The 23,747-nt window shown below is 41.5% G+C and overlaps 1 protein-coding gene across 14 annotated transcripts in view, besides 3 other annotated features; it reads left to right on the top strand.

The window, feature by feature from the left end:
* Positions 1-23,747, top strand: part of TBC1D30 (TBC1 domain family member 30) — a 121,550-nt gene that overhangs the window by 62,421 nt on the left and 35,382 nt on the right. For 8 of the 14 annotated variants that reach the window (XM_047428595.1, XM_047428596.1, XM_024448903.2 and 5 more), the window contains 7 exons: positions 5,931-5,992; positions 6,540-6,605; positions 8,473-8,598; positions 10,215-10,400; positions 14,586-14,754; positions 16,779-16,947; positions 21,476-21,581. In XM_047428595.1, coding sequence (XP_047284551.1) covers positions 5,931-5,992; positions 6,540-6,605; positions 8,473-8,598; positions 10,215-10,400; positions 14,586-14,754; positions 16,779-16,947; positions 21,476-21,581 — 884 coding nt within the window. Of the gene's footprint in view, positions 1-2,742; positions 3,130-5,930; positions 5,993-6,539; positions 6,606-8,472; positions 8,599-10,214; positions 10,401-14,585; positions 14,755-16,778; positions 16,948-21,475; positions 21,582-23,747 lie in introns of those variants that run through there. The other 6 variants (XM_011538078.3, NM_015279.2, NM_001330186.2 and 3 more) reach the window with 2 other exon arrangements.
* Positions 2,563-2,802: a silencer, noted in NCBI's record as "silent region_4628". NCBI's record gives its function as "represses an Ori minimal core promoter by ATAC-STARR-seq in GM12878 lymphoblastoid cells {active_cell/tissue: GM12878}" and the evidence as "EXISTENCE:reporter gene assay evidence [ECO:0000049][PMID:35858748]".
* Positions 3,441-3,948: an enhancer, noted in NCBI's record as "H3K27ac-H3K4me1 hESC enhancer chr12:65219125-65219632 (GRCh37/hg19 assembly coordinates)". NCBI's record gives its function as "activates a minimal SCP1, AML or CMV promoter by ChIP-STARR-seq in naive H9 embryonic stem cells {active_cell/tissue: H9 hESC(naive)}" and the evidence as "EXISTENCE:reporter gene assay evidence [ECO:0000049][PMID:30033119]".
* Positions 5,626-5,675: an enhancer, noted in NCBI's record as "active region_6601". NCBI's record gives its function as "activates an Ori minimal core promoter by ATAC-STARR-seq in GM12878 lymphoblastoid cells {active_cell/tissue: GM12878}" and the evidence as "EXISTENCE:reporter gene assay evidence [ECO:0000049][PMID:35858748]".

A 23,747-nucleotide genomic window follows, 5' to 3' on the forward strand; every position in this document is an offset into this window, starting at 1 on the left:
CTTTTCAAAGAGTACTGCCCTTTTGAAAGCATCTTTACCTCTGCCAGGCAGCTACAACTGAATAGCTTGCATGTCCTTTATTAGCCTGCTTTACTTTTGCAGATGGCTCATCTCATTTTTAATAGATTCTTTTACAGCTCATTCTTAGGGTTGCACCATTTCTGACATTGTCCTCAAATTCTGGGAAGCGTCATAGGAATGCCTTCTTTTTCTGGCTTGTTTAGGCTATCTTTATGAAGGCATTTAAAAATATTCAATATTTTTTCAATCAATAGCAGCCATTTTTTTTTCTTTTGATACAGGGTCTTGCTCTCTCACCCAGGCTGGAGTGCAGTGGCCAATCATAGCTCACTGTAACCTTGAATTCCTGGGTTCAAGTGATCCTCCTGCCTCAGCCTCTCAAGTAGCTAGGACTACAGGCATACACTACCACACCTGGCTAAGTTATTTTATTTTTGCAGAAACAGGGTCTTGCTATTTTGCCCAGACTAGTCTTGAACTACTGGCCTCAAGTGATTGTCCCACCTTGGCCTCCCAAAGCACTGGGATTACAGACCTGAGCCACAGCACCTGACCCAGCAATTAATTGCTTTTTGTTTTTGTTTTTACTTCTGAGGCAGGGTCTCACCATCACCCAGGCTGGAGTACAGTGGTGCGATAATGGCTCATTGCAGCCTTGACCTCCCTGGCCTCAGGTGATCCTCCCACCTCAGCCTCCTGAGTAGCTGGGCCTACAGGTGTGTGCCATCATGCCCAGCTAATTTTTGTAGCTTTTTTTTTTTTTTTGTAGAGATGGGGGTTTGCCATGTTGTCCAGGCTCAGCCATTGTTTTTCAAGTTCAAATTGTTTCATCTTTGGCCAATAGGAAGGAGCCTATTTATGTGACTCTTGTGTCTTTTTGACTTGACCCCATTAATTGTGAAACATTTCCTTTCTTTTTGAGCTCATCAAAATGTTTCAGGGTCATCTTGTACTTTTTCTGTCCCAAACCTGGAATCAGTCACTCCTCAAAGGAGCCTTAGTTCCTTTGAGTGGGGAATGGTTTTTAGAGACCATAACCTGGGTGCTGTGGGTGTTCATTGCTGCTGAGTTGTCCTTACTTCTAAACCTATTCAATGAATGTATGTATTTTTTTGAAAAGAAAAAAAAATGAGTTCATACTAGTGTTTCCCATATAAATATATAATTGTAATATTTTAAAGAAAACTTAATTACTTTGGTTATACACATATTTTCTATTACACTGAAAACATCTTGGCTCCATTTGATGTTAGCATACTTATTTATTTGCTTTATCCTGTAGTGGATATAAGAATTTAAGAAATATGAATATTATTAATAACAATAATACTACTGAATGAAATGTAAGGTTTCTTTGCAGTTTTATTTGCTCTGGGAATATGTACAACTGTTGATGTACAGTCATAATATTGTGTTCTATGTCAACTTAAGAGAGAATTATTTTTTTCTGTGTTCTTATGCTATAAGTGGGATAGTCCATTAGGTTGATTTGTTTCCATTAATTTTCAATTGTTAGGGTTTTCTTTTACAATTTAAAAATAATTTATTCATTTATAGTCAGGGACTAGGTCTGTTGCTCAGGCTAGAATGCAGGGGTGCAATCATAGCTCACTGCAGCTTTGAACTCCTAGTTTCAAGACATCCTCCTGCCTTGACTTCCCAAAGTGCTAGGAATACAGGTGTGAGCCACCGTGCCCAGACTATTTTATGTATTTTCAAATTTTATTTTTATTTTTATGTCTTTTTAAGAGATGGGGTCTCGCTATGTTGCCCAAGCTGGCCTCAAACTCTTGGGGCTAAGCAATTTTCCCACCTCAGCCTGCCAAGTAGCTGGGACTATAGGCATGCTGTTCCATCATCCTGGTTTTTTAAAAATTTAATTTGTTAATATTATTAATATAGTGTTATTCCAGAGCCAAAACTACAGGAGGCACATCAAGAGAGGACTCAGTTTTCCATTCTTGTCTCCTCCACGATGTTCCTTCTCCTATACAAGTTTTCTAATTTGTTTTTGGTTTATCCATTTAGTGTTTCTTTTTATAAATATTAGCAAACACAAGTATCTTTATATCCCCCCCCCACACCCTTTCTTTCATCCATTTTAATGGTAAATAGTCTATTGGTGAATATTGCCGTTTGAGAATGACTTTTTTTTTTTTAAACCATAATGATGGGCAATAGTTCAGAACTACTGAAGTCTGGCTGGAGAGATGAGGAACATTACTTTTTAATACTGCTTGAAAAGAGAACACTTTTTTTCTGGAAGCCCATTTTTCTAAAAGAAACAATAATTTTTTTTTCCTTCATTTTCTCCGCGCCTCTCTAATCTGCCAGGAAATAATTCAACGCAATTCGGGCTGAAGCGTGTGCCTCGCCGCCTGCGGTTGGGTCATGGCCCCTTCTGAGACTGCTCGGAAGTGGGAGAGGATGCTTGCCCTTACGGGTGTTCTGCCCCTGAGACTGGCGCCCCTTGGTGCTCCCTCTGTTCCCTCCCAGATCTTGGGAGAAGCACGGACATCTCTGTTTCTGCTTTTGGTCCCCGAACGCAGTTACGCGCCCACTGGCTCCCTGTCTCTGGCGCTTCTGGGCACGGGGGAGCTGGGGCGGCCCCGCCTGCGCACGGCGGTGCCGGGATTGGGGGCGGGCACGCCGCCTCCGTCTCCCACGCGCTCGCTCGCTCGCTCGCTCCCGCCCTCCCCGCCTCGAGCGATCTCCTGCCTCAGCCTTGCAGGCTCCGCACTGCAGATGCCTGCTGGCTTCCCTGCGCTCGGCGGCTCCCGCGGTGCCCCGTAAGTCCCCGTGACCCTCCAGCACCAGCCGGCTGTGCGCTCCCTGCTCCCACGGGCCGGTCAGCCGCAGACACTCACCCAGCTCCGCGAGCTCAGCCGCTCAGCGAGTGGGGTAGCGGGGACCGAGACGGACGGTAGCCGTGCCAGAGCCCGGGGCGCTCTCGGATGCGGCAGGACAAGCTGACCGGGTCTCTGAGGCGCGGGGGGAGATGCCTGAAGCGGCAGGGCGGCGGCGTGGGCACCATCCTGAGCAATGTGCTCAAGAAGCGCAGCTGCATTTCCCGGACCGCGCCCCGGCTGCTGTGCACCCTGGAGCCGGGTGAGGACCCCAGGGCTGCAGATGGGGCGCTGTAAAGTAGCGCCGGGGCTGCCCGCGCTTCTGCCTTAGCCTGACTCCGTCTAGGCCGGGGAGCTCTGGGGAAAGTCCGCGTGCCACCTGGTGCGGGGCACCGCGTTGGCACCTGCAGGGAGCGATTGGTCTGGAAGGGTAGAGGGCAGACGGGGGCCTGGGTGGGGCAGCGGCCACCCCAGGCGCGGAGAACCCGCTGCTTCCACCCTCTCCCCGCGGACCCCCACCCTGCGGCCTGTGTGCTCGGCTTTCTCCGCGTGGCGGGGAAGTGCGGGTGGCTGCCCGGGCCCTCAGAGGCCGCACCACCTATTGTGTTCCAGGCTCGCAGGAAGCCAGACCTTGCGAGAGGTGTGTGGGGGCGGAGAGTGGCACAGGTTTGACACTGCAGGTCGGAGGAGGAAGACAGTGGCTGCAAAGGCAAAATCGGGTGTTATTTTCCCAAGAGTCCCTTCAGCGTGAGTGCCGGGGTCAGCTCGAACTGGAGCCTGTAATTTGTGAGTGCGAGTGGGGAGCAGCAGGAGATCCTTTTCATAGGTGAGGTCCAGGAACGAGCCTGGTCGTGCTAGGCAAGGCCCTTCCCACTGTCAGCCTGTGTTTACCCATCCCTGCTTCTCCAGACTGCATAACTCCGTGTCGGCTCCATCACCCGGCATCCCTCCCCGGGATTTTAAGAGCCTGGCCCTAGCGCGGGCTCCTGGGCACGGAGGTTTCTGGCAAGGAGTGGCTGCAGAGGGAGTTGGCTGTACTCTCACTGGTGCTTGGCGCTCACCTGTTCCCTGGAGTGGCACCGGCTGCGTTCCAGGCGGGTTCACGGTCCCCGGCCCCCGCCCCCCAGCGCCAGCGCCTTGGGGACCTGCTGTAGAGCCGCAGGAGAATCGAGCTGCAGAGTCCCAAAGGGTGGGATGCGGCACTGCCTTTCCCAACCTCGTGGTTTCTTTGTTGTTCTCCCCTAGGAAGTGTCTAGTTGCAGAGGCTGTAGTATTTATTCACCATCTTCCTTTACCTCTTTTTTTTTTCTTTTAAATCTCCTTCCCACGTTAAAAGTAAGTGTTTTGTATTTCTGAATCCGGAATAGCTGTGATTATCAGATGAAACATAAACCTTCTCTCTGCCCGTATTCTGTTAGAAGAAAAGAAAAGTGGGGTGAAAGTGACCTGGTTTAAGCTTTTGCATGCAGGCGGCGAATCAATTTCAGTTAAATCCTCTTGCTCATTTTTGATCATGAGAGGATAGTTGTGGTTTTGGCCAACTAACCCCTGCTGGGTTTCACTATGAGAAGGCAATCGGCATGATGCCCAGCAGGTGCCCCGGAAAAGTCAGAAGAGCATATTGGTCAGACATACAGGGAATCCTTGTAGTGTGGCAAGAATAAGTCAGCGCGGGACCGAATTTCCTGGTCTTTGTTATCAAGCAAACGTCATGATTATACGCTCCTCCATTCAGCACCTCGCGTCCGGACAGCAACCTCACTTGTTTTCAGCGTGCCTTAAAGCGTGCGCTGGGCTGGAAACACTCCCGTGGCCGTTGTTATCACCGTTCTATGTTTGGGCAGGACTTCGTTTAAACCACCTCAGAGAGAGGCGGATCCATGTGGTACTTAATATTCCTTCGGAGAAAAAAAAAACTTATCTATCCAGGCAGAGTATGGTTATGGCCCTGAAGCTTTAAAAAGAAATATCAAGGCATTGATTGGATGCCTGGGATTCTCTGCCACAGCTTACTTTGGAAACCTAGGACCCAACTCAGGAATTTACAGCGCTCTTCCAGGGTTCCAAGAACACCTGCATACTGATATGGGCTTGCAAAAATCAGATACATCTCTTTCCAGCTTCTTGACTCCGTGTATATATATATTTTTTAAAAGACCAGTCTACTTGATTACTTACTATTATTTCATAAATTCTGAAGATTGCTCCTATTCATACCAACCACTAAGAAGTGGAAGTTGTGGAGAAGTTTTTAGTACACCTAATCTACAATCAACAATCTTAGAAACAAAAATGCCATCATTTGACTTTTGAAATTTGTAAAACTTAATGTTATTGATAGTATTTGGCATTTCTTGGTCCTTGAACTTTTGGGCAATAATTCCTTTAAAAAATGGGGCCGGGTGCCGTGGCTCATGTCTGTAATCCTAGCACTTTAGGAGGCTGAGGCAGGTGGATCACTTCAGATCAGGAGTTTCAGATCAGCCTGACCAACATGACGAAACCCTGTTCTACAAAAAATACAAAAATTAGCTGTGCGTGGTAGCACGTGCCTATAATCCCAGCTATTTGGGAGGCTGAGGTGGGAGGATTGCTTAAGCCCAGGAATCCAAGGCTGCATTGTGCTATGATTGTGCCTGTGAATAGCCACTATACTTCAGCCTGGGTGATATATTGAGACTGTATCTCTTAAAAAGAAGAAAAGGAATTGAGACTGAGATAGGTTAGATAAATTGTTTCAGTCTAGGAACCAAGTCGAATGGAGGACTGTATGACTCCAAGCCTGTGGTGTCATTTTTTGTTTTTGTTTTTGCTTTTGTGGTACTCCAGGCATCTATGTAAACCACCGTCATATGTAGTAAGGCACTTTCTATTGCTGTAGGGTATTTTCCTATTTTAAGAATCAATATGCTTACCTTTTGGCAAAATTGACTAAAATTTAGTAAAGATACATACTTTAAAAAAAATTGTGATGATTCAGTAGAATCAAGCTTTTACTAGTATTTTTGATATAACTTGTTATAGTCTCCAAAAATAACATCTATTTATGTATTTTTCTTTCAGGAGTTGATACCAAGTTGAAATTCACTCTTGAGCCATCTTTAGGTCAAAATGGTTTTCAGCAGGTAACTTTGATTTTGAAAACACTCTTCTTTTGGGGTTACCAACAGGGCACATTGAGATATATTCTCAAAGTGGAAATAACGTATTCTTTGATATGAATGTGAAGATGAGTCACTTCAACAATATTTCAGTTAAAGTAGCTTTTGAGCTACAAGTGGCCTGGGTTTATATTTGCAGTGACAAATTTTGCACTTTCTATTAATGGTACATGTGTGAAAAATTTTAAAATGAATAAATTTCACACCTGTACCATAATGTCTTTTATTCTGAACCCCATAATATATATTTTGGCTTATTAACCAGAGCTTCCCAACCATTTTGTTTGTACTGCAAAGGGGTCACAGATGTGTTAAGGGTGCCCAAGGGGTGGGACGTGGCACAGTAATAGCCATGGACTGATCACTTCTGTCTGAAAGAAGCTTTGACTGTTTACCCCATTGTGCTGTGCAAATTTCAGCACATTCTATGAATGTCAAGATGGGAAAAAGATTGCAAAGTGCTTATCTAGGTCACTGTGATCACCTCCTGGGATTTCTTCTTTGTTCCTAGTGGTACGATGCTCTCAAGGCAGTTGCCAGGCTATCCACAGGAATACCAAAGGAATGGAGGAGAAAGGTAAGGAGGACTCATAGGGCTAGAATACAGAAGGATCATCACTGCCCTTCTTTAGAGCCTCTGGAATGTCAAAAAATATATTCTAGGTTTAGTTACTTGAAAACCTGTCTTGATTATTCATTCATGCAATAAATATTTATTGATTATTCTGTGCCAAGTAATGTTCTAGGTTCTAGGGATATAGCAATGGAAAAAAACAAAACAGACCAAAGTTTTTTGTCCTCATGGAGCTTACAATGAATAAAATATAAAGTATGTCAGATGGTAATAAGTGCCATGGATAAAAATAAAGTGTAGAGAGAAATAAAGAGCGTTTAGGAGAAAAGGGGTAAGGAGGTGGAATTTTAAATAGCAAGGTGACATTCGAGTAGGCCCCTGAAGGAGGTGAGAAGCCAGCCATGCAAGTACCTGGGAGGAGATACTCCAGGCAGAGGGAACAGCCAGCGCAAGCACCCTCAGCCCTCAGGCGGGAGCATCTTGCATCTGGGTTGTATTCAAGCAAAGATGGGGTGGGGCGGGGCTGGGGCACAGTGAACAAAGGGGGAAGCAATAGGTGAGGGGGTCATAGAGGTAATGTGGTGGGTTGAGGGGTGGCAGATCGTGGAGAACCTGGTGGGCTATCATAGGTCTTGGGCTTTTGCTCAGTGTGAGCTAGGAAGCACTGGGAAGTTTTGAGCAGGGGAGTGACATGATCTGACTTTTATTATGAACGGGCTACTCTGGGTACTGACTTGAGAATATGAGAGACAAGGGCTGAAGTAGGGAGACCAGTAGGAGACTTGCAGTAGCTCAGGCAACAGATGCATCAGGGTTGTGGTAGTGGAGATGGAAATCCTAGACGTATTTTGAAGGCTGAGCTTACATGAATTCCTCTTGGACTGAATATAAGGTATAAAAGGGATGTCAAAGATGACTTCAGGATTTTGGCCTGAGTGATTGGGAGGTAGAATTACTGTTTACTCAGATGGGAGGAGTAGGTGAGGTGTGTGTGTGTCTGTACGTGTAGGTAGGGTAGGTGGTGGAATAAGTGATTGGTTTTGGATCTGTTAAGGTTGACATGCCTATTAGATATCTAATTTGAAGGTATCAAGTGAGCATTTGGATATATGCTTCTGAGGTTAGGAGAGAAGTCTGGCTGGATATATAAATCAATGTTTATTTCTGCTAAATCATGTTTAAATACCAAAACTTGAAATACACACTTAGGATATTAATTTATAAGCCTAATCTTTATATTTCTAGAATTTGAAAATTGAGGGTTCCTCAAAATAGTCATGAAAATGACATTATGAAATATAACTTTCAGAAACAGATTTTCTGGATAAGATAATCAAAGGGTAAAAATATCCAGTGGCTCTTTTAAAAAACTTACTCATTATGGGAGCCCATCTGTCAGTTTTGTGTATGTGTGTGAGAGGGATGGTTTAAAGGCAGAGGCCACTCCATGGTGAAAAAAAGCCCCATTCACCATGAGTGACCAGATGGCTCTTGCCTAAGTATGGAGAGCAATACAGAGCCAAGTAAAACAAGCTTATGAGATTATACAGGTTATTCAATGAACAGAAATACAATTTGAAAATCTTCTTGGTTTGTCTTTCTAACAGTATCCCTAATGCCTGGATTGCTGCTTGACACATAGTGGGAACTCAACAAATATTTATTGAAAGAGTAAATGAAAGGCCCTAAATGGTGCAAATCAGTGCAACAAACATTTCAGTGAGACTCTTGTAGATTTCTACTTATGAGCGATAGATAGCTGGTCTAGGGACACTTCCCATTTTCTTGTCGAATGCAATAACTACTTTCTAATAAAGGTGAAGTTATATATTCTACTTTGGCATTCTCCTTTGTCTATGTAATATTTTAGGTTTGGTTGACCTTGGCAGATCATTATTTGCACAGTATAGCCATTGACTGGGACAAAACCATGCGCTTCACTTTCAATGAAAGGAGTAATCCTGATGATGACTCCATGGGAATTCAGATAGTCAAGGTAATGCCCCTGAACTTGGCCTGTCATCCTAATATAGAAGAAAGACTCTAAAAGCCAGTTGCTTTTTGGACAGAGGATCAAATGATCTCTACCTTCTGGTTTGAATGTCTGTATATTTTCTGCCTTCTCATTTCATTAGCTTTTTCATGGGGAACCTTGACAATGTGTTGTCTGCATAAATTTAAATGTTACCGGTAAGAAGAAAATATTTGCAAATGAGCTTTCATTCACATTCAACTTATTAATCTTCCTCACACTATAGGAAGGACGCTTTGTCATGGGTCAATGATGCCAACTGGATTTTTATATAAAAGTCACTGATTGAAAAAGTTAGTTAAGTATATTTCATATGAGAATGATTTGGTTCTTATTAGGGTCTTTGATAGTTTCTTAACTGCCAATTTCTAAAGACAGGTTCACAGGTGGGGCCTACTTCCAACCAAATACTTGTGGGTTCAAGCCAGCTGTGTAGGCAGTTGTGGCTCGCTTACCTGGATTATTACAGTTGAACAGAGCCTGGTGCTAAAAGCCAAGGATACTGATTCTGTTTGATCCCAGTATTATCCTCTTACATAAGGCTCTAGCACATGGTTTTTGATTTTATATGAGTACATTACAGTGTGATACTCAGCTGGGGTTTTAAAAGGAAAGTTGTTTCATCCAAATTTTGGCCACCTCAAGATGGCTAATGTTTTGGCATATTTGGAGGTTTTTTTTTAAGGAGGAAGTACTAACTAAAATGAGCTACTTTCTGTTCTAACTTGGTTTCAGACAAATGCTAAAAAAGTTATGCAATTTTACATTGTGTACTAAAAAGCCTTTGCATTATTCACATTTAAGCTATATATTTGGAATTTTAGAATATGTTTCGCAGAGATGAAGTATCTCATATTTGAAATATTTCCTTTTTGTCTAACTGGTGAATTAAGGCAATGCACCTTTTGTAACAATCATCTTTTAAGAGTATCTTTTGTTTTCTCATTGAAGTGAATGCTGTGTCAGTTAATGACTTCAGCTCTTGAAAATTGTAGTTCCTGCTTAGTAATTAAATTATAGATATTGCCTTCATTAAAGCATAGCAAATATTTCTGTCTTTCTTATATACATTCATAAAATAATTTGAATAGAATGATTTTTCTCTCTATAATCACATTTTTTGCTATTTTGATTTCACTCCTTTATGTTATTTAGAGTTTTGATAGCTAAATATTATACTTTATTTGTAGAAAGGAAGAATGTTAGCCTCAATCATACATGTATTGTGATGACTATTGTTTTACCTGAGAAATATTATTAAAACAATCAATTTACATGAAATTATACTGTAATTATTGTTAATTCTGAGCTACTTTTTGTGGTAATCCTGGAAACGTTTTAAGTTGAAAATTTGCCTGACTGAAATTCCCCTTGCAAATCTCTCTTAAACAGCATATTACAAAATATTATGAAAAAGAAAGCTAAAAATGCATTTTGGCTCATATGTATAAAAACATACACATTTTAAAAAAATTTTATGTCGATGATTTGACTCTGTTTATTGAGTCAAAAAAAAAAGGTATTGTTTTGGAAAGAATATTAGGAGTTATTTTTGAAAATATTGTTTCCCTTCCATTTAGGACCTTCACCGCACAGGCTGTAGTTCTTACTGTGGCCAGGAGGCTGAGCAGGACAGGGTTGTGTTGAAGCGGGTGCTGCTGGCCTATGCCCGATGGAACAAAACTGTTGGGTACTGCCAAGGCTTTAACATCCTGGCTGCACTAATTCTGGAAGTGATGGAAGGCAATGAAGGGGATGCCCTGAAAGTGAGTAGCAGGCTCTGACAAAGGCCATGGACATTCTTCTGAGAGTGAGAAATTGGAACCATAATTTCTCTTCCTTGATGTCTCATCCTTTTCCAAGGTGTTTGCCACACCTTTGTAATGACCTATGATAGCATTTCCTCCAGGTTAGAGCCATGTCAAGTGACAGATTCATGTAGCTGCCAACTATGAGGCAAATGATTATGTATTTAGTCTCATTTATAAGACATCATATTTTTAAAGCAAGTTAAATATTAATTGTATTAATTATTCATTGCTGTTCAACAAATTAGCTGCTTAAAACAGCAAATGTATTATCTTACAGTTTCTTTGCGTCAGAAATCTAGGCACAGCCTAACTGCCTCAAGGACACATCACTGTTGCTGTTGGTTGGTGTTGCGATCTCATCTGAAGGCTCAATTGGGGGTGGGCATTGGCTTTCGAGTTTGTTTATGTGGTTGTTAGCAAGATTTAATTCCTCACAGGCTGTTGGACTGAGGCCATGGTTCCTTGCTGGCTGTTGACTGGAGGCCTTTTATAGTTCCTTGCCATGTAGCCTCTCCATCTCTCAACCCAGTGGCTGGCACCCCCAAAGTGAACATGAGAGTAAAAGATAGTGAGCAAGGCAAAAGAGTTTAAGTTACAGATTTGTAGCCAAACATCAGAAGTGACATCCCACTATATTTCCATATTCTGTTCTTTAGAAGCCAGTCACCAGGTTCAGCTTATAGTCAAGGAGAAGGGCTCATACAAGGGTGTGACTCAGGGGTCATGTTAGAACTGCCTCCCACACTAGTTATGCTTAATTTTGATTGGATTGCCTTATTGAGTTGCTTTACTCTTTCATATTTGGAGCAAGATATGGAGGAGTTGGGCTGAGAGTGAGTGTCTAAGGAAGGTGTTTGCATGGAGAAGCATTATGGAATTGACTTACATTAATATCTTTTAATCTTTGATGCCTACGACCTTTATTAGTTAAAACAAATTTTAAAAACATGTTGAGATGGGGCACTAGTGATTTAAGCTTAGTTTGCATGTGTGTCAGTGAGTCACCAGAAATAGAGTGCTTATGAGAAATGAAGCATTTTAAATGTGGAGGCTAATGCCTATTTGCTTAAGGCAATGTGGGATTACTAATTCATATTTGAACCTTTAAACTGCTCTTGATTGCAATGCTTTGTGATGTATGAGATAGATACTTAGTCTTCGTGTTCAAGAACCGCCCCCCGACACAACCCCACTCCCAACAACTTGTGTTTGACTATGGTGAATACCTTATTGATACTGTCAATCACTGATTAATGTGATGTGGAAAAATAAACAAATGTTCCTCTTGGTTTTATACAAATGATGGTGGACTAGTTATAAATCCAGCTTGACATGATCTAAATCTGTATTCAACCTCTCACTTTTTCCATTGATGTATTTAAGGAAGCAGCTTTGAAGTTACTTGTTCATCAAAAAGGTGAGGGTAGGAGAGGGAGGAAGGCAGTGACAAATACATGACTTTAAGATGTTTTTTATTAAGAAGCAATTTTGTTTACTCAGTCTATCAGCTTTCATCAGTTTTTTTTTTCAGATGGAATTGGTATGATGATAAAATGGGAATTGTTTTCTAGAGCAATTGGAATAAGTGAATCAAGTTAGGGGGTCGGATGGAGATGTTCAGGGAAGGAAATGTACATGCCAATCAAATTATAAAAGGGCTCAGTAATACTTGAGAAACTGGAAATTAAAAACTCACGTAAAAATATGGATTAGATAAAGATGAGAAACTGAATATTTCAGCCCCCACGAAAATGGGCTCCATGCAATGAGATGATGTCATCATCCTTTAAGAGTGTATAGATCTTGTGTTTAGACATTTAATATGCAGAGGAAGGTTGGCTTCATGAAGAAACACTTCTGATGTTGAGGAAAATATTGGACATCTATTTTTTCAGCATGGCCTCTACAAGTCATAATTACTAAGGAAACATATAGTTTATTAGAAATAGGTGAACCATTTTTCCTGCTATTTAGCACTTAAGTTTTTACTTAGCAAATCTTTCATTTTCAACCTTTTGTTAAAAATTCAGAGCTCTCCCATTATTTAGCCAAATCTTTTTTTTTTTTTTTTTTTTGAGATAGAGTCTTGCTCTGTCACCCAGGCTAGAGTGCAGTGGCATGATCTTGTCTCACTGCAACCTCCACCTTCCAGGTTCAAGCAATTCTCCTGCCTCAGCCTCCCGAGTAGCTGGGATTACAGGTATACACCACCACGCCCAGCAAATTTTTATATTTTTAGTAGAGATGGGGTTTCACCATGTTGACCAGGCTGGTCTCAAACTCCTGACCTCTCAGGTGATCCTCCTGCCTCAGTCTCCCAAAGTGCTGGGATTACAGGCATGAGCCACCGTGCCGGGCTTTTTTTTTTTTTTTTTTTTTTTTGATCTAAGATTTGACCTTGGAAATACAGTGGTGGGTGGTTTGAGTGAGCTGGCTCTATGTCTTCACATCAGACATTGAGATGCCTTCAGATAGAGAATTTCACTGTCACAGGAATTAGTATGATAATTGAAGAATTTTTTTTTTGCTTGTTTTCATGTAATTTTGAGAGATCATAATTTCTCAATAAAAACCAAATATCTTTCTCAGCATTATGTCTTATCCTTAGATGAAAAATACAACAGTTGTCAGTGTACATCCTTTACGTCTGCATTCATGATCCTGTAAATTCCTCTAATCCTGATCCATAGAGTGCTAGGTTCCTGCAAGGGTACTCTACCATGCTGAAACTTGCTCTCCTCATCAGCTGCTGCCTCCCAGAACCTCCTCTTCCCGCAGAGACAGAATTTACTCCTTTCTTGTTGCTGAGCTCTTATTTGCAAGATGATGTTACGTGTACCTGGTAAATTTTATCCTAACATAAGAAGGCTAAGGCCTTCTGGGTCTGGCCACCTTACAGCAAAGGAGAGGGTCCTCCTCAAGAGCATGCCCCTGCCCTACTGACTCGTTCAAAACTGTGACCCTGAAAAGTGGAAATTATAAGCTGGGGAGGAGGGGAAAATGGGCCCTTGGCAGGGTGGGAGATTTTTGTTTTTGTGGGGCGGGTTAGGGGGTGGAAATAGAGTTTTATAGTATCCTGAGTGTCAAAATGTGAGATAGCTACTTTTCCATCGACATAGAGCCCATTATATATATAGAACCAGTTATGATTTTGTTCTTAATTTTGTTTTTCTGGTGCTTTTGGGAAGGAGCTGGTCTTTTAGGGAATGGGTCAGGTACATAGCATGCCAGACCTTTTAAGAATGAAGCCACCTGAATTAGCACGTGGATGCTCTTCAGAGAACTGCAAACAAAGAAAGTAGAGGTAGTGATTCAATACTATTATAACTCTGAAAATATCTGACTTCTCCGATTCCACTGTACAAATGAGCCTAAACATTGAATGGAAATACATGGTTCCAGGTATTTTTGTTGGTAAGAGTTTGGTGGGAAAGAACCAGGGATTGACATACAGAGCTCGTATGTGTTTGGCTGGGTCATTCTAGAGGTTCTTGACATTTTAGGAAAGGTAATACAAGTAGAAAAATCAAAATGAAAATAGCAATTTGAAGAACCTCTATAACAACCTTATGAAAGAAATACAGATTCTGAAAAGTACTATTTGTTCAAGCAAAGCATAGTTGCATTTTCCCAGGAAGCGGACAAAGAGCCAACATGAGTTGCTCTAATAGCCCAGGTTGATGGTGAGTAAATCTTGAGAGCTGCTTCAGTGGGGGTGTTTTATGATAGGCCTGCTCTTAGTTTTCATATTGAGGTTGTAAAACTGTGCTGACATCAAGGAGCCAATACTGAGGCTCTGCTGGCTGCTGCACAAGCTTGGGCTTTGTCATTTCTCAGAATGACGCTAAGGGTTGCATAATCACAGCTACTTATGGGCCGAACTCAGGTCTAGCAACCCATCTAGAAATTTCAGACAGCAGCGGACTTGGGGTCTGAGTTACTTAGATGATTATGCCACATGCTCCCTAGCCAGGCTGTAGGAGAGCCTTGTAAATCTGGAACATTTGGTACTGATGCATTTAAGGATAGCGTGCTTTGGCTAACAGCGTTTTATCTATTTGAATACTTATTTTCTCTTTAGGACGTGTTGGGATCCCAGTTTTTACAAAGCAGTCTTAAGCTTTATCTTTTTTTCTTTAGATTATGATTTACCTTATTGATAAGGTACTTCCCGAAAGCTATTTCGTCAATAATCTCCGGGCATTGTCTGTGGATATGGCTGTCTTCAGAGACCTTTTAAGAATGAAGCTGCCGGAATTATCTCAGCACCTGGATACTCTTCAGAGAACTGCAAACAAAGAAAGTGGAGGTAGGTTTCAATGCTATTATAACTCTGAAAATATTTGTCTTCTCTGATTCCACTGTACAAATGAGCCTAAACATTGAATGGAAATATGTATTTCCAGCTATTTTTGTAAGAGCTTGGTGTAATGAAATAGATTTTTAGAGAATGAAAACAAAACTGACAACAACAAAAGGCCACATGTTGAACCTCTAACTGGTCATAATTAGGAAGTCAGTGAAGAGCCTAATACTAGTACCAGATCAACAACTGAAATGATGTACTCTGGATGGAATACCATGTACACATCTTACTATCTAGTTAAACTGCTCTAAGCTGGCACCAAACCTGTAGGAGTCTTTAAAAATGAGCTACAGGTACAATTTAGTACAAACTGGTTTTACCTGAACCATTGAGATTATGAAAGAGTAGCTAAGAGCCGCTGCTATCTATTGGGCATCATCCAGCTTTTGGAAGTATCTGAGCTCATAGCTGTCATTATACCTACTGCTTGTACTTCCCTGGCTGTGCGTACAGAATAGTCAGGAGTTTGTTGTGTTTCCTCCAAACCAGTGGTCCCCAACCTTTTTGGCACCAGGGACCAGTTTCCGGGAAGACAGTTTTTCCACAGACCAGGGCTTGGGGATAGTTTCAGGATGATTCAAGCATATTTATTGTGTACTTTATTTCTATTATTATTACATTGTAATACATAATGAAGTAATTACACAACTCACTGTAATGTAGGATCAGTGGGAGCTCTGAACTTGTTTTCTTGCAACTAGATGGTCCCAACTGGGGGTGATGGGAGAAAGTGACGGCTCATCAGGCATTAGATTCTCATAAGGAGCGCGAAACCTAGATCCCTCACGTGCACCGTTCACAATAGGCCTTGTGCTCCTATGAGAATCTAATGGTGCTGCTGATCTGATAGGAGGCAGAGCTCAGGTAGTAAACAATGGGGAGTGGCTGTAAATACAGATGAAGTTTTGCTTGCTGCTCACCTCCTGCTGTGTGGCCTGGTTCCTAGCAGGCCACGGACCCAGAGATACCTGAATGTCTCTAGGCATTTCCTTCTAAACCATTTGAATAATCTCGTTTAACTTGGCTCTGCAGTATAACTGTGTAGATTTTATAATGCTTCCGGATAGGCCAATCTTCCCTGTCCCCTAGTCAGACACACTTTAGTGAGCTACATGTTTTTACCCAAGTGCCTTGCACTTGGCTGTGAGGAGCAACCTCAGATTCTAGTCTCTGAACAAAGATACTCCCATTGTTCATAGGTAAGGAAGAAGAAAATGAATATAGGAAAACAGACATCTTTTTGTTTACACTTAGGTATAATTGTACATATTGGCTGTAATTTGAAGGGAGGATCAGTGTAAATATCTAAATATTTATATTTCATAAAAATATATACTGATCACATAAAGTAAGAGGGAGTACTATGTTTTTTAATAAATTTAGAAATTTCAAAATTTGCTGGACGCCAGATCTTTAGTTGGAAATATTTTTAAATGTAATGTTTATTCTCTATTTTGGGATTTGCCAGCTATCTTTCTGTTAATGATTTCTAGTTTAACTCCACTGTGGTCTGAGAACTAAGTATAACTTAAGAAGTTGGTAGATAATTTATAGTGAGCAATTTATTCTTATCAAAGCAGCATTTGAATATAAGTGGGCATTATATGATTTTGAAAATCTGATGGCTTTTGCTTTTGAGAGGCTTAAGTCCTTTCTTTTTCTTCTGTTTTTGGTGAGGAAAACTTTCTCCTTAATTTTCAGCTCACTACAATAGGTAGAGCCAAAGTAAGTTTTAGGTTAAGATTTCTGAAGTATTGTAAATATTTTTTGAAGTTCATATTTGTTAAGCATACCTGTGTTCTTCCAGAAACATGGCAGAAAAAAGAAAGAACAAGAGTTTAGAAATATGAAGAAATCAGTCAGGAAATACAACAAATTTGAGTGGACATGGAAGACTAGAAAAGGGTATCTGCATATGCTGCCAATCATCAGTTCTGAAGGAATTGAATGTGTTTGTTTTATTTCAGGTGGATATGAGCCCCCACTTACAAATGTCTTCACGATGCAGTGGTTTCTGACTCTCTTTGCCACATGCCTCCCTAATCAGACCGTTTTAAAGATCTGGGATTCAGTCTTCTTTGAAGGTTCAGAAATCATCCTAAGGGTGTCGCTGGCTATCTGGGCAAAATTAGGAGAGTAAGTGATTTCCACCTTCTGCTCTGTTCTGTGATGTTGAGGGCCTTAAGCAGTTTTTGTGCTCTAACGTGTAAAGCAATATTTAAGTGAAATGAGAAAGTTGTGAACTTTTAAAATTGCTTTAGCCTCCTGAAATCTCAGCAGGCTCATTGCTGGCACATACAGTCTATTTTGGAGAAGGGGGCAGATGCCTTTAGGCCTGTAGATTCTCCCACTCCTCCTCAAGTGCTTGTGTCCTGGCTGGTTCACTCTTTGTCAGCATCTCTTTGGACACTAGTTGGGAAGAGGGAAAGGAACTTAGGTGGCAGAGAAACTGAAAGATCTGGTTAGGAGTAGGTGAATTTGTTAGTTAATATCATAATTTGAATTATTGATGAATCTTTATTTTGTTCTGCCTTTCAGGGCTGTGATAAAATCAAATGAGATAACAAGATATCTAGCCTGGTAGAACACATAGAACTTCTTTCCTTTCATTAAGAATTAATTCTCTGTTGGAATCTGTTACTGCCAAAACATATTACCAAATAGATTTTGCTTATATTCTTTACTAGTAGCAGGGCTGAAAAAGATAGGGTATTTTTCATTCACCTTTGATATATTATGATTACTACATAAATGTTGTGCCTTTTGGGTAACGGAAGAAGCATTAGGATGAAACTTATAGTTAAGAAGCAGTGAAGTTTTTACCATTTCTCTTCTGGAGCTATAAATGACGAGTGGGTTCCCACAGACAACATGTCACAAAACTAGTAAATCACTGGCACTGTTTTGTTTCAAAAACCTTTTAACTAGCCTTTGTATTTATGGTAAGTTGTTTCCTGGGAGACTTCTGGCATTTTTAACAATTTTGCAAAGAAAGATCCACCAACTATCGGCCGAGCGCGGTAGCTCACGCCTATAATCCCAGCACTTTGGGAGGCTGAGGCAGTGGGTCACGAGTTCAGGAGATCGAGACCATCCTGACTAACACGGTGAAACCCCGTCTCTACTAAATATACAAAAAATTAGCTGGGCGTAGTGGTGGGCACCTGTATTCCCAGCTACTCGGGAGGCTGAGGCAGGAGAATGGCGTGAACCCAGGGGACGGAGCTTGCAGTGAGCCGAGATCGTGCCACTGCACTCTAGCCTGGACGACAGAGCAAGACTCTGTCTCAAAAAAAAAAAAAAAAAAAAAAAATCCACCAACTATCAATTCAGGGACTTAAAAAAATTATTATTGTGTGTATTTTTAAACATCACCTAGCTATCTCCTTTGCCTTGGTTTTATTGTACATTGCTTTTCAGCTGGGTAAATAAATTCATCTGTATGGGATTTGGTGTGCTATTTACTTATCTTTCATTACCCCCCAATAGCTACCTCTTGCTGCAGCCATGTATTTCCAACTTACTCTATACATTGTAAGCCCTTTGAGCTCTGATAGTTTCTTTGGGTGTGGTAGTCCAGTTGCTGCATAGCTGGTTTATAACATTAAAATAGTAAAGCACTTTACTGTATGATGAGTCAGTTATAATTGCCTTTGTGTTGGTTCTTCATGAAGGAGCAGGAAGAAAAGAGGTTATCCTGGTTTTACTCCTCTCTATCCATTAATCTGTAGGATCAGAATTTATTCCTAAGATCATCCCAGGGATGTCATACTGTTGAAATAATAATAGCTGCAACAAAAGCCAATATTCATTGAGTGCTTGCAATGAACAGTCGCTGTTCTAATTACTCTGCATGGATAAACTCATGTATTCTTCATCATCCTATAAAGTACGCACTGTTGTCATCTCCATTTTATAGATGTGAGAATTGAGGCACACAGAAGTTCAGTTAATTGTCTAAAGTCACCTAATTACTAAGTGGAATGGCCTGAATTTGAACCCAGGCATTCCTGGCTCTAGAGTCTGTGCTTTTAATAATGTGAATCTACTGATAATAAATGGCTGGTCTTTTTGAAGTTTAGGGGATATATGAATCAGAATGATAGAATTTTAACTCTTTCAGTTTTTGCTTATTATAATTCTATATGTTTTGAGCATGCAGCTTGTTAAGGGAAAGGAAAGGCAATTGACATACATCATAAGTGCCTGCAGTGCCTGCCATTGTGTTAGGCAGTTTAAACACATCATCTCATTCAGTTCTCCCAATAACCCTGTGGAGTAGATAGGGTTATTCTCCCTGTCTTTTCAGTAAGAAAATTTCCCCAGGAAGGTTAATTAGCTAGTTCATAGTCACACAGCCAGTGAATAGCAGAACTGGGACTTCAATATGGAACTTTCTGATTCTAGTGCCTGTAATCTTCCCCACAAACTTCCTGTTGGAAAAACCATAAAAGCATATAGGTAATCTCCAGTTTATGTACACCTGAGTAACATGTGCCTTATATATGGTGATCCAGGACCTCTCCTTTCACCTGACTTCTGCAACTTGGAATTTCTACCTTTCGCTCACCCCAAGGGTACTTGGGAATATGTAAATTGTAGACCATCAGCACGCCATCACTAGCATCTCTTTATGTGTCCTTTCTCCTCTGCCCCTGCTGTTTTGGTTTCCTCCCTTGTCACCCCATGCCTGGCCCACTGTGGTGTGTCCTCCTTGGTTTCCTCATGGTAATCCACACTTGCCATGCCACCTCCAGGCAGACCTTGCCAAGGGCACAGCTGTTCCCTCACTCCCTATTAAAGCCTTTTCGTGACTCATGCTCTGTAGAGGCTCAGCTGGCAGGTGAGGCCTTTGCTCTCTGCTCTCAGTAGCTCTCTTCCCTCAGCTCTCACTGGCTTCCTCTGGTCCTGCAACCACTACCCCAGTGCTGGTCTCGCTGGTTGTGCGGAGCTACTTGCAGTTCCCCAGATAAGGCCTGCTGTCTCCTGCATCTGTGTCTTTGGGATGTTTTTTCTTCCTTGTCAGCCTGAAAAACACTTTTCAAAACTCATCTCAAGCATTATTTCTCTTCCTTACCTCCCAGGGTAAACTTAAGTACCTTTCATTCATGTCCACAGGCTGCTCTGCTCTTTTATAGTAATATTTCAGCAGTTTGTTCCATTCATTTATTTACATTTGTGGCAATGGGATTAGAACAACACTCCAGAACCTATGGTTTTTCCATAATCATATTATTTTGGATGGCTTTACAGAAATCCCCCAATATTAGTATGTATCAAAGTGTAGGTCTTCTGGTTGGTGGGAAACTAGAGTTATCCTACAATACAAACAACGTTGTCATATAAAATGGAAATACCTAGGCTGGGTGCCATGGCTCATGCCTGTAATCCCAGCACTTTGAGAGGCCGAAGCAGGTGGATCACTTGAAGCCAGGAGTTTGAGACCAGCCTGGCCAACATGGTGAAGCCCCATCTCTACTAAAAATACAAAAAACCAGCAGGGTGTGGTGGTGGGTGCCTGTAACCTCAACTACTCGGGAGGCTGAGGCAGGAGGATTGCTTAAGCCCAACAGGTGGAGGTTGCAGCAGGCCAAGATCACACCACTGTGCTTCAGCCTGGGCAACAGAGCAAGACTTTGTCACAAGAAAAAATAAATAAATAAATAAACAAACAAAATGGAAATACCTGGTACTCTTTGTTTTGGGCTCTTCTGTTTTCCCCTTTGTAGAAGAAAGATTGAAGTCCAACCTGGCTCACAGGTAGCCAAGTGAGTGTCAGATTCTTTATTTACATGTAGAACTGAATGCAAGAAGAGGTGTAATCTCCAACTAGCAGCAGCACCCTGAGAAGAACTCAGAAAATTCTGCCTGTGAAAACACCCCATGGACTGATGAAATATGCAGATACAGTTCTTGTAATTGTCATCTTTTATTCCTACTGTGGTTTGGTTTTAAATCTATTATATTAATGATATCACTGTTTGCAGATTAAGACCAACAGAGTCCCTTAAAGGAGATAATTGTTTTTTAGTACCCAATTTCATGGTTATGCTTTCTAACGAGTGGTGGGAATTCTGATGTGTAGATTGTGTCCCATGGAAGCAATAAAGATGCCACAGGTGGGACTGTGAGGCGAGGAGTGCCAAGTAGGAATGACAGGACTTACCCAAAACGAGTACCTCAAAGTTGCTTTTGGTATTTTTAAATGTTTCATCCACAGTGGGCTTTACAAATATCAGGATTTTGATATTTGTTGATTGATAACCTGAGTTATTTGATGGCAAAAGGCAACTGCCCCCTGCCCTTTTTTGAGACAGGGTCTCACTGTGTTATCCAGGCTGGATTGCAGTGGTGCTATCATGGTTTACTGCAGACTTAGCCTCCCAGGCTCAGGTGATCCTCCTGCTTTAGCCTCCTGAGTAGCTAGGACCACAGGTGTGCGCCACGATACCCAGCTGATTTTTAAAATTATTTGGAGAGATGGGGTCTTGCTGCATTGAGGCTCCTGGCCTCAAGCAATCCTCCCGCCCCAGCCTCCCAGAGTGCTGGGATTATAGGCATGAGCCACCATGCCCAGTCCAACATATCTTATACCTGCAGCATGTACTGTTACACAGCATGGATGCCCTAAACAAGTTGTATTTTCTGTCCTTTCTTTATCTAGGCAGATAGAATGTTGTGAAACAGCAGATGAATTCTACAGCACCATGGGGCGCCTTACCCAGGAGATGCTAGAGAATGATCTTCTGCAAAGCCATGAACTCATGCAGGTGAGTCGGCAACATGGAGCAGCTTGGCTCGGGGAACCCCGGGCACGGTGGGAACAACCAGTGCCAGAGCAGCGGTCTTGAGAAATGTGCTTGGTTAGCTGTCAGACTTAGTTTCTCAAATTGACCAAGAGTCTGTTTATAATTTGATAAGAATCTATGTCATAGAAGGAAGGAAGAAATGAATGATGGATATTTGTTGTAGCTTTCTGTCAGACTGTGTTGCTTAGAAGTCATTAGCAGCAATATAAACTGGAAAAATACACTGGAAAAACAAAATCACCAAGTGCTTATTCTGAATTTTATTCTTAGTCTTTCTTTTCTTTTTTGAGACTGTCTCATTCTGTCACCCTGGCTGGAGTGCAGTGGCACAATCGTTGCTCACTGTAGCCTCTGTCTCCTGGGCTTAAGTGATCCTGCCACCTCAGGCTCCTGAGTAACTGGGACTACAGGCGTATGCCACCATACAGCTAATTTTTTATTTTTATTTTTGTATAGATGGAGTCTTGTTATGTTGCCTAGGCTAGTCTTGAACTCCTAGACTCAAGTGATCCTCCCACTGCGGCCTTCCTAAGTGCTGGGATTATAGGCATGAACCACTGTGCCCAGCCTACTTAGACTTGTGGGGGGAAACACTTATTGTGGGGAATAAATTATTGAGGATAAAAAAGATTATTCTCATCAGCATTTTGATTCATTTGTTTTGCCCACACTTTCAACTCAGGTAATTATATATTAATCATAAATTTTAAAGTGAAAGACTTGAAGGGTTTAGTTATTTTTTATGGCATGTTACTGTACGTCAATATCATATTCATCAAGTCTTTGAAATTGACAGCAAGTATAGAAAAAATAGCTGTCTTATTAACACTCACTCTTCCATTAGATTCTTTTTTTAATTTCTAATTTTTGTGGGCACGTAGTAGGTGCATATATTTATGGGGTACATGAGACACTTTGATACAGGCATGCAATGCATAATAATCATATCAGGGTAAATGGGGTATTCCTCCCCAAATGTTTATCCTTTGTGTTACAGACAATCCAATTATACTTTTAAATTTATTTCTAAATGTACAATTAAATTACTATTGACTATAGTCACCCTGTTGTGCTATCAAATACTAGGTCTTATTCATTCTTTCTAACTACTTTTTGTACCCACTAACTATCTCTTCTTCCCTATCAACTACTCTTCCCAGCCTCTGGAAACCATCCTTCTACTGTCTATCTCTATCAGTTCAATTGTTTTAATTTTCAGCTCCCACAATTAAGTGAGAACATTCAAAGTTTGTCTTTCCATGCCTGGCTTATTTCACTTAATATAATGACCTCCATTTCCATCCACAAATAAGCTCCCACAAATAAGTGAGAACATTCAAAGTTTGTCTTTCCGTGCCTGGCTTATTTCACTTAACGTAATGACCTCCATTTCCATCCATGTTGTTGCAAATGACAGAATCTCATTCTTCTTTTTATGGCTGAATAGTACTCCATATTGTATATATACCACATTTTCTTTATCCGTTCATTGGTTGATGGATACTTAGGTTGCTTCCAATTCTTGGCTATTGTGAACAGTGCTGCGAGAAACATGGGAGTGCAGATACTGTTTTGATATACTGATTTCCTTTCTTTTGGGCTTGTACCCAGCAGGGAATTTTTGGATCATATGGTAGCTCTAATTTTAGTTTTTTTTGAGGAACCTCCAACCTGTTTTCCATAGTGGTTGTACTAATTTACATTCCCACCAACAGTGTACAAGGGTTCCCTTTTCTCCACATCCTTGCCAGCATTTGTTACTGCCTGTCTTGATTAAAAGCCATTTTAACTGGGTGAGATAATATTTCATTGTCATTTTGATTTGCATTTTTCTGATGATCAGTGATTTTCTGTCCCCAGGCTGGAGTGCAGTGGCACCATCTCAGCTCACCAAATTGCGGTTCAACAATTGCTCCTGGGGGCTGAGCGCGGTGGCTCATGCCTGTAATCCCAGCGCTTTGGGAGGCTGAGGCGGGCAGATCACGAGGTCAGGAGATCGAGACCATCCTGACTAACACGGTGAAACCCTGTCTCTATGTAAAATACAAAAAATTAGCCAGGCGTGGTGGCGGGTGCCTGTAGTCCCAGCTACTCAGGAGGCTGAGGCAGGAGAATGGCGTGAACCTG

Source organism: Homo sapiens, chromosome 12 (genome assembly GCF_000001405.40).
Source record: "Homo sapiens chromosome 12, GRCh38.p14 Primary Assembly".
Taxonomy (NCBI): Eukaryota; Metazoa; Chordata; class Mammalia; order Primates; family Hominidae; genus Homo; species Homo sapiens.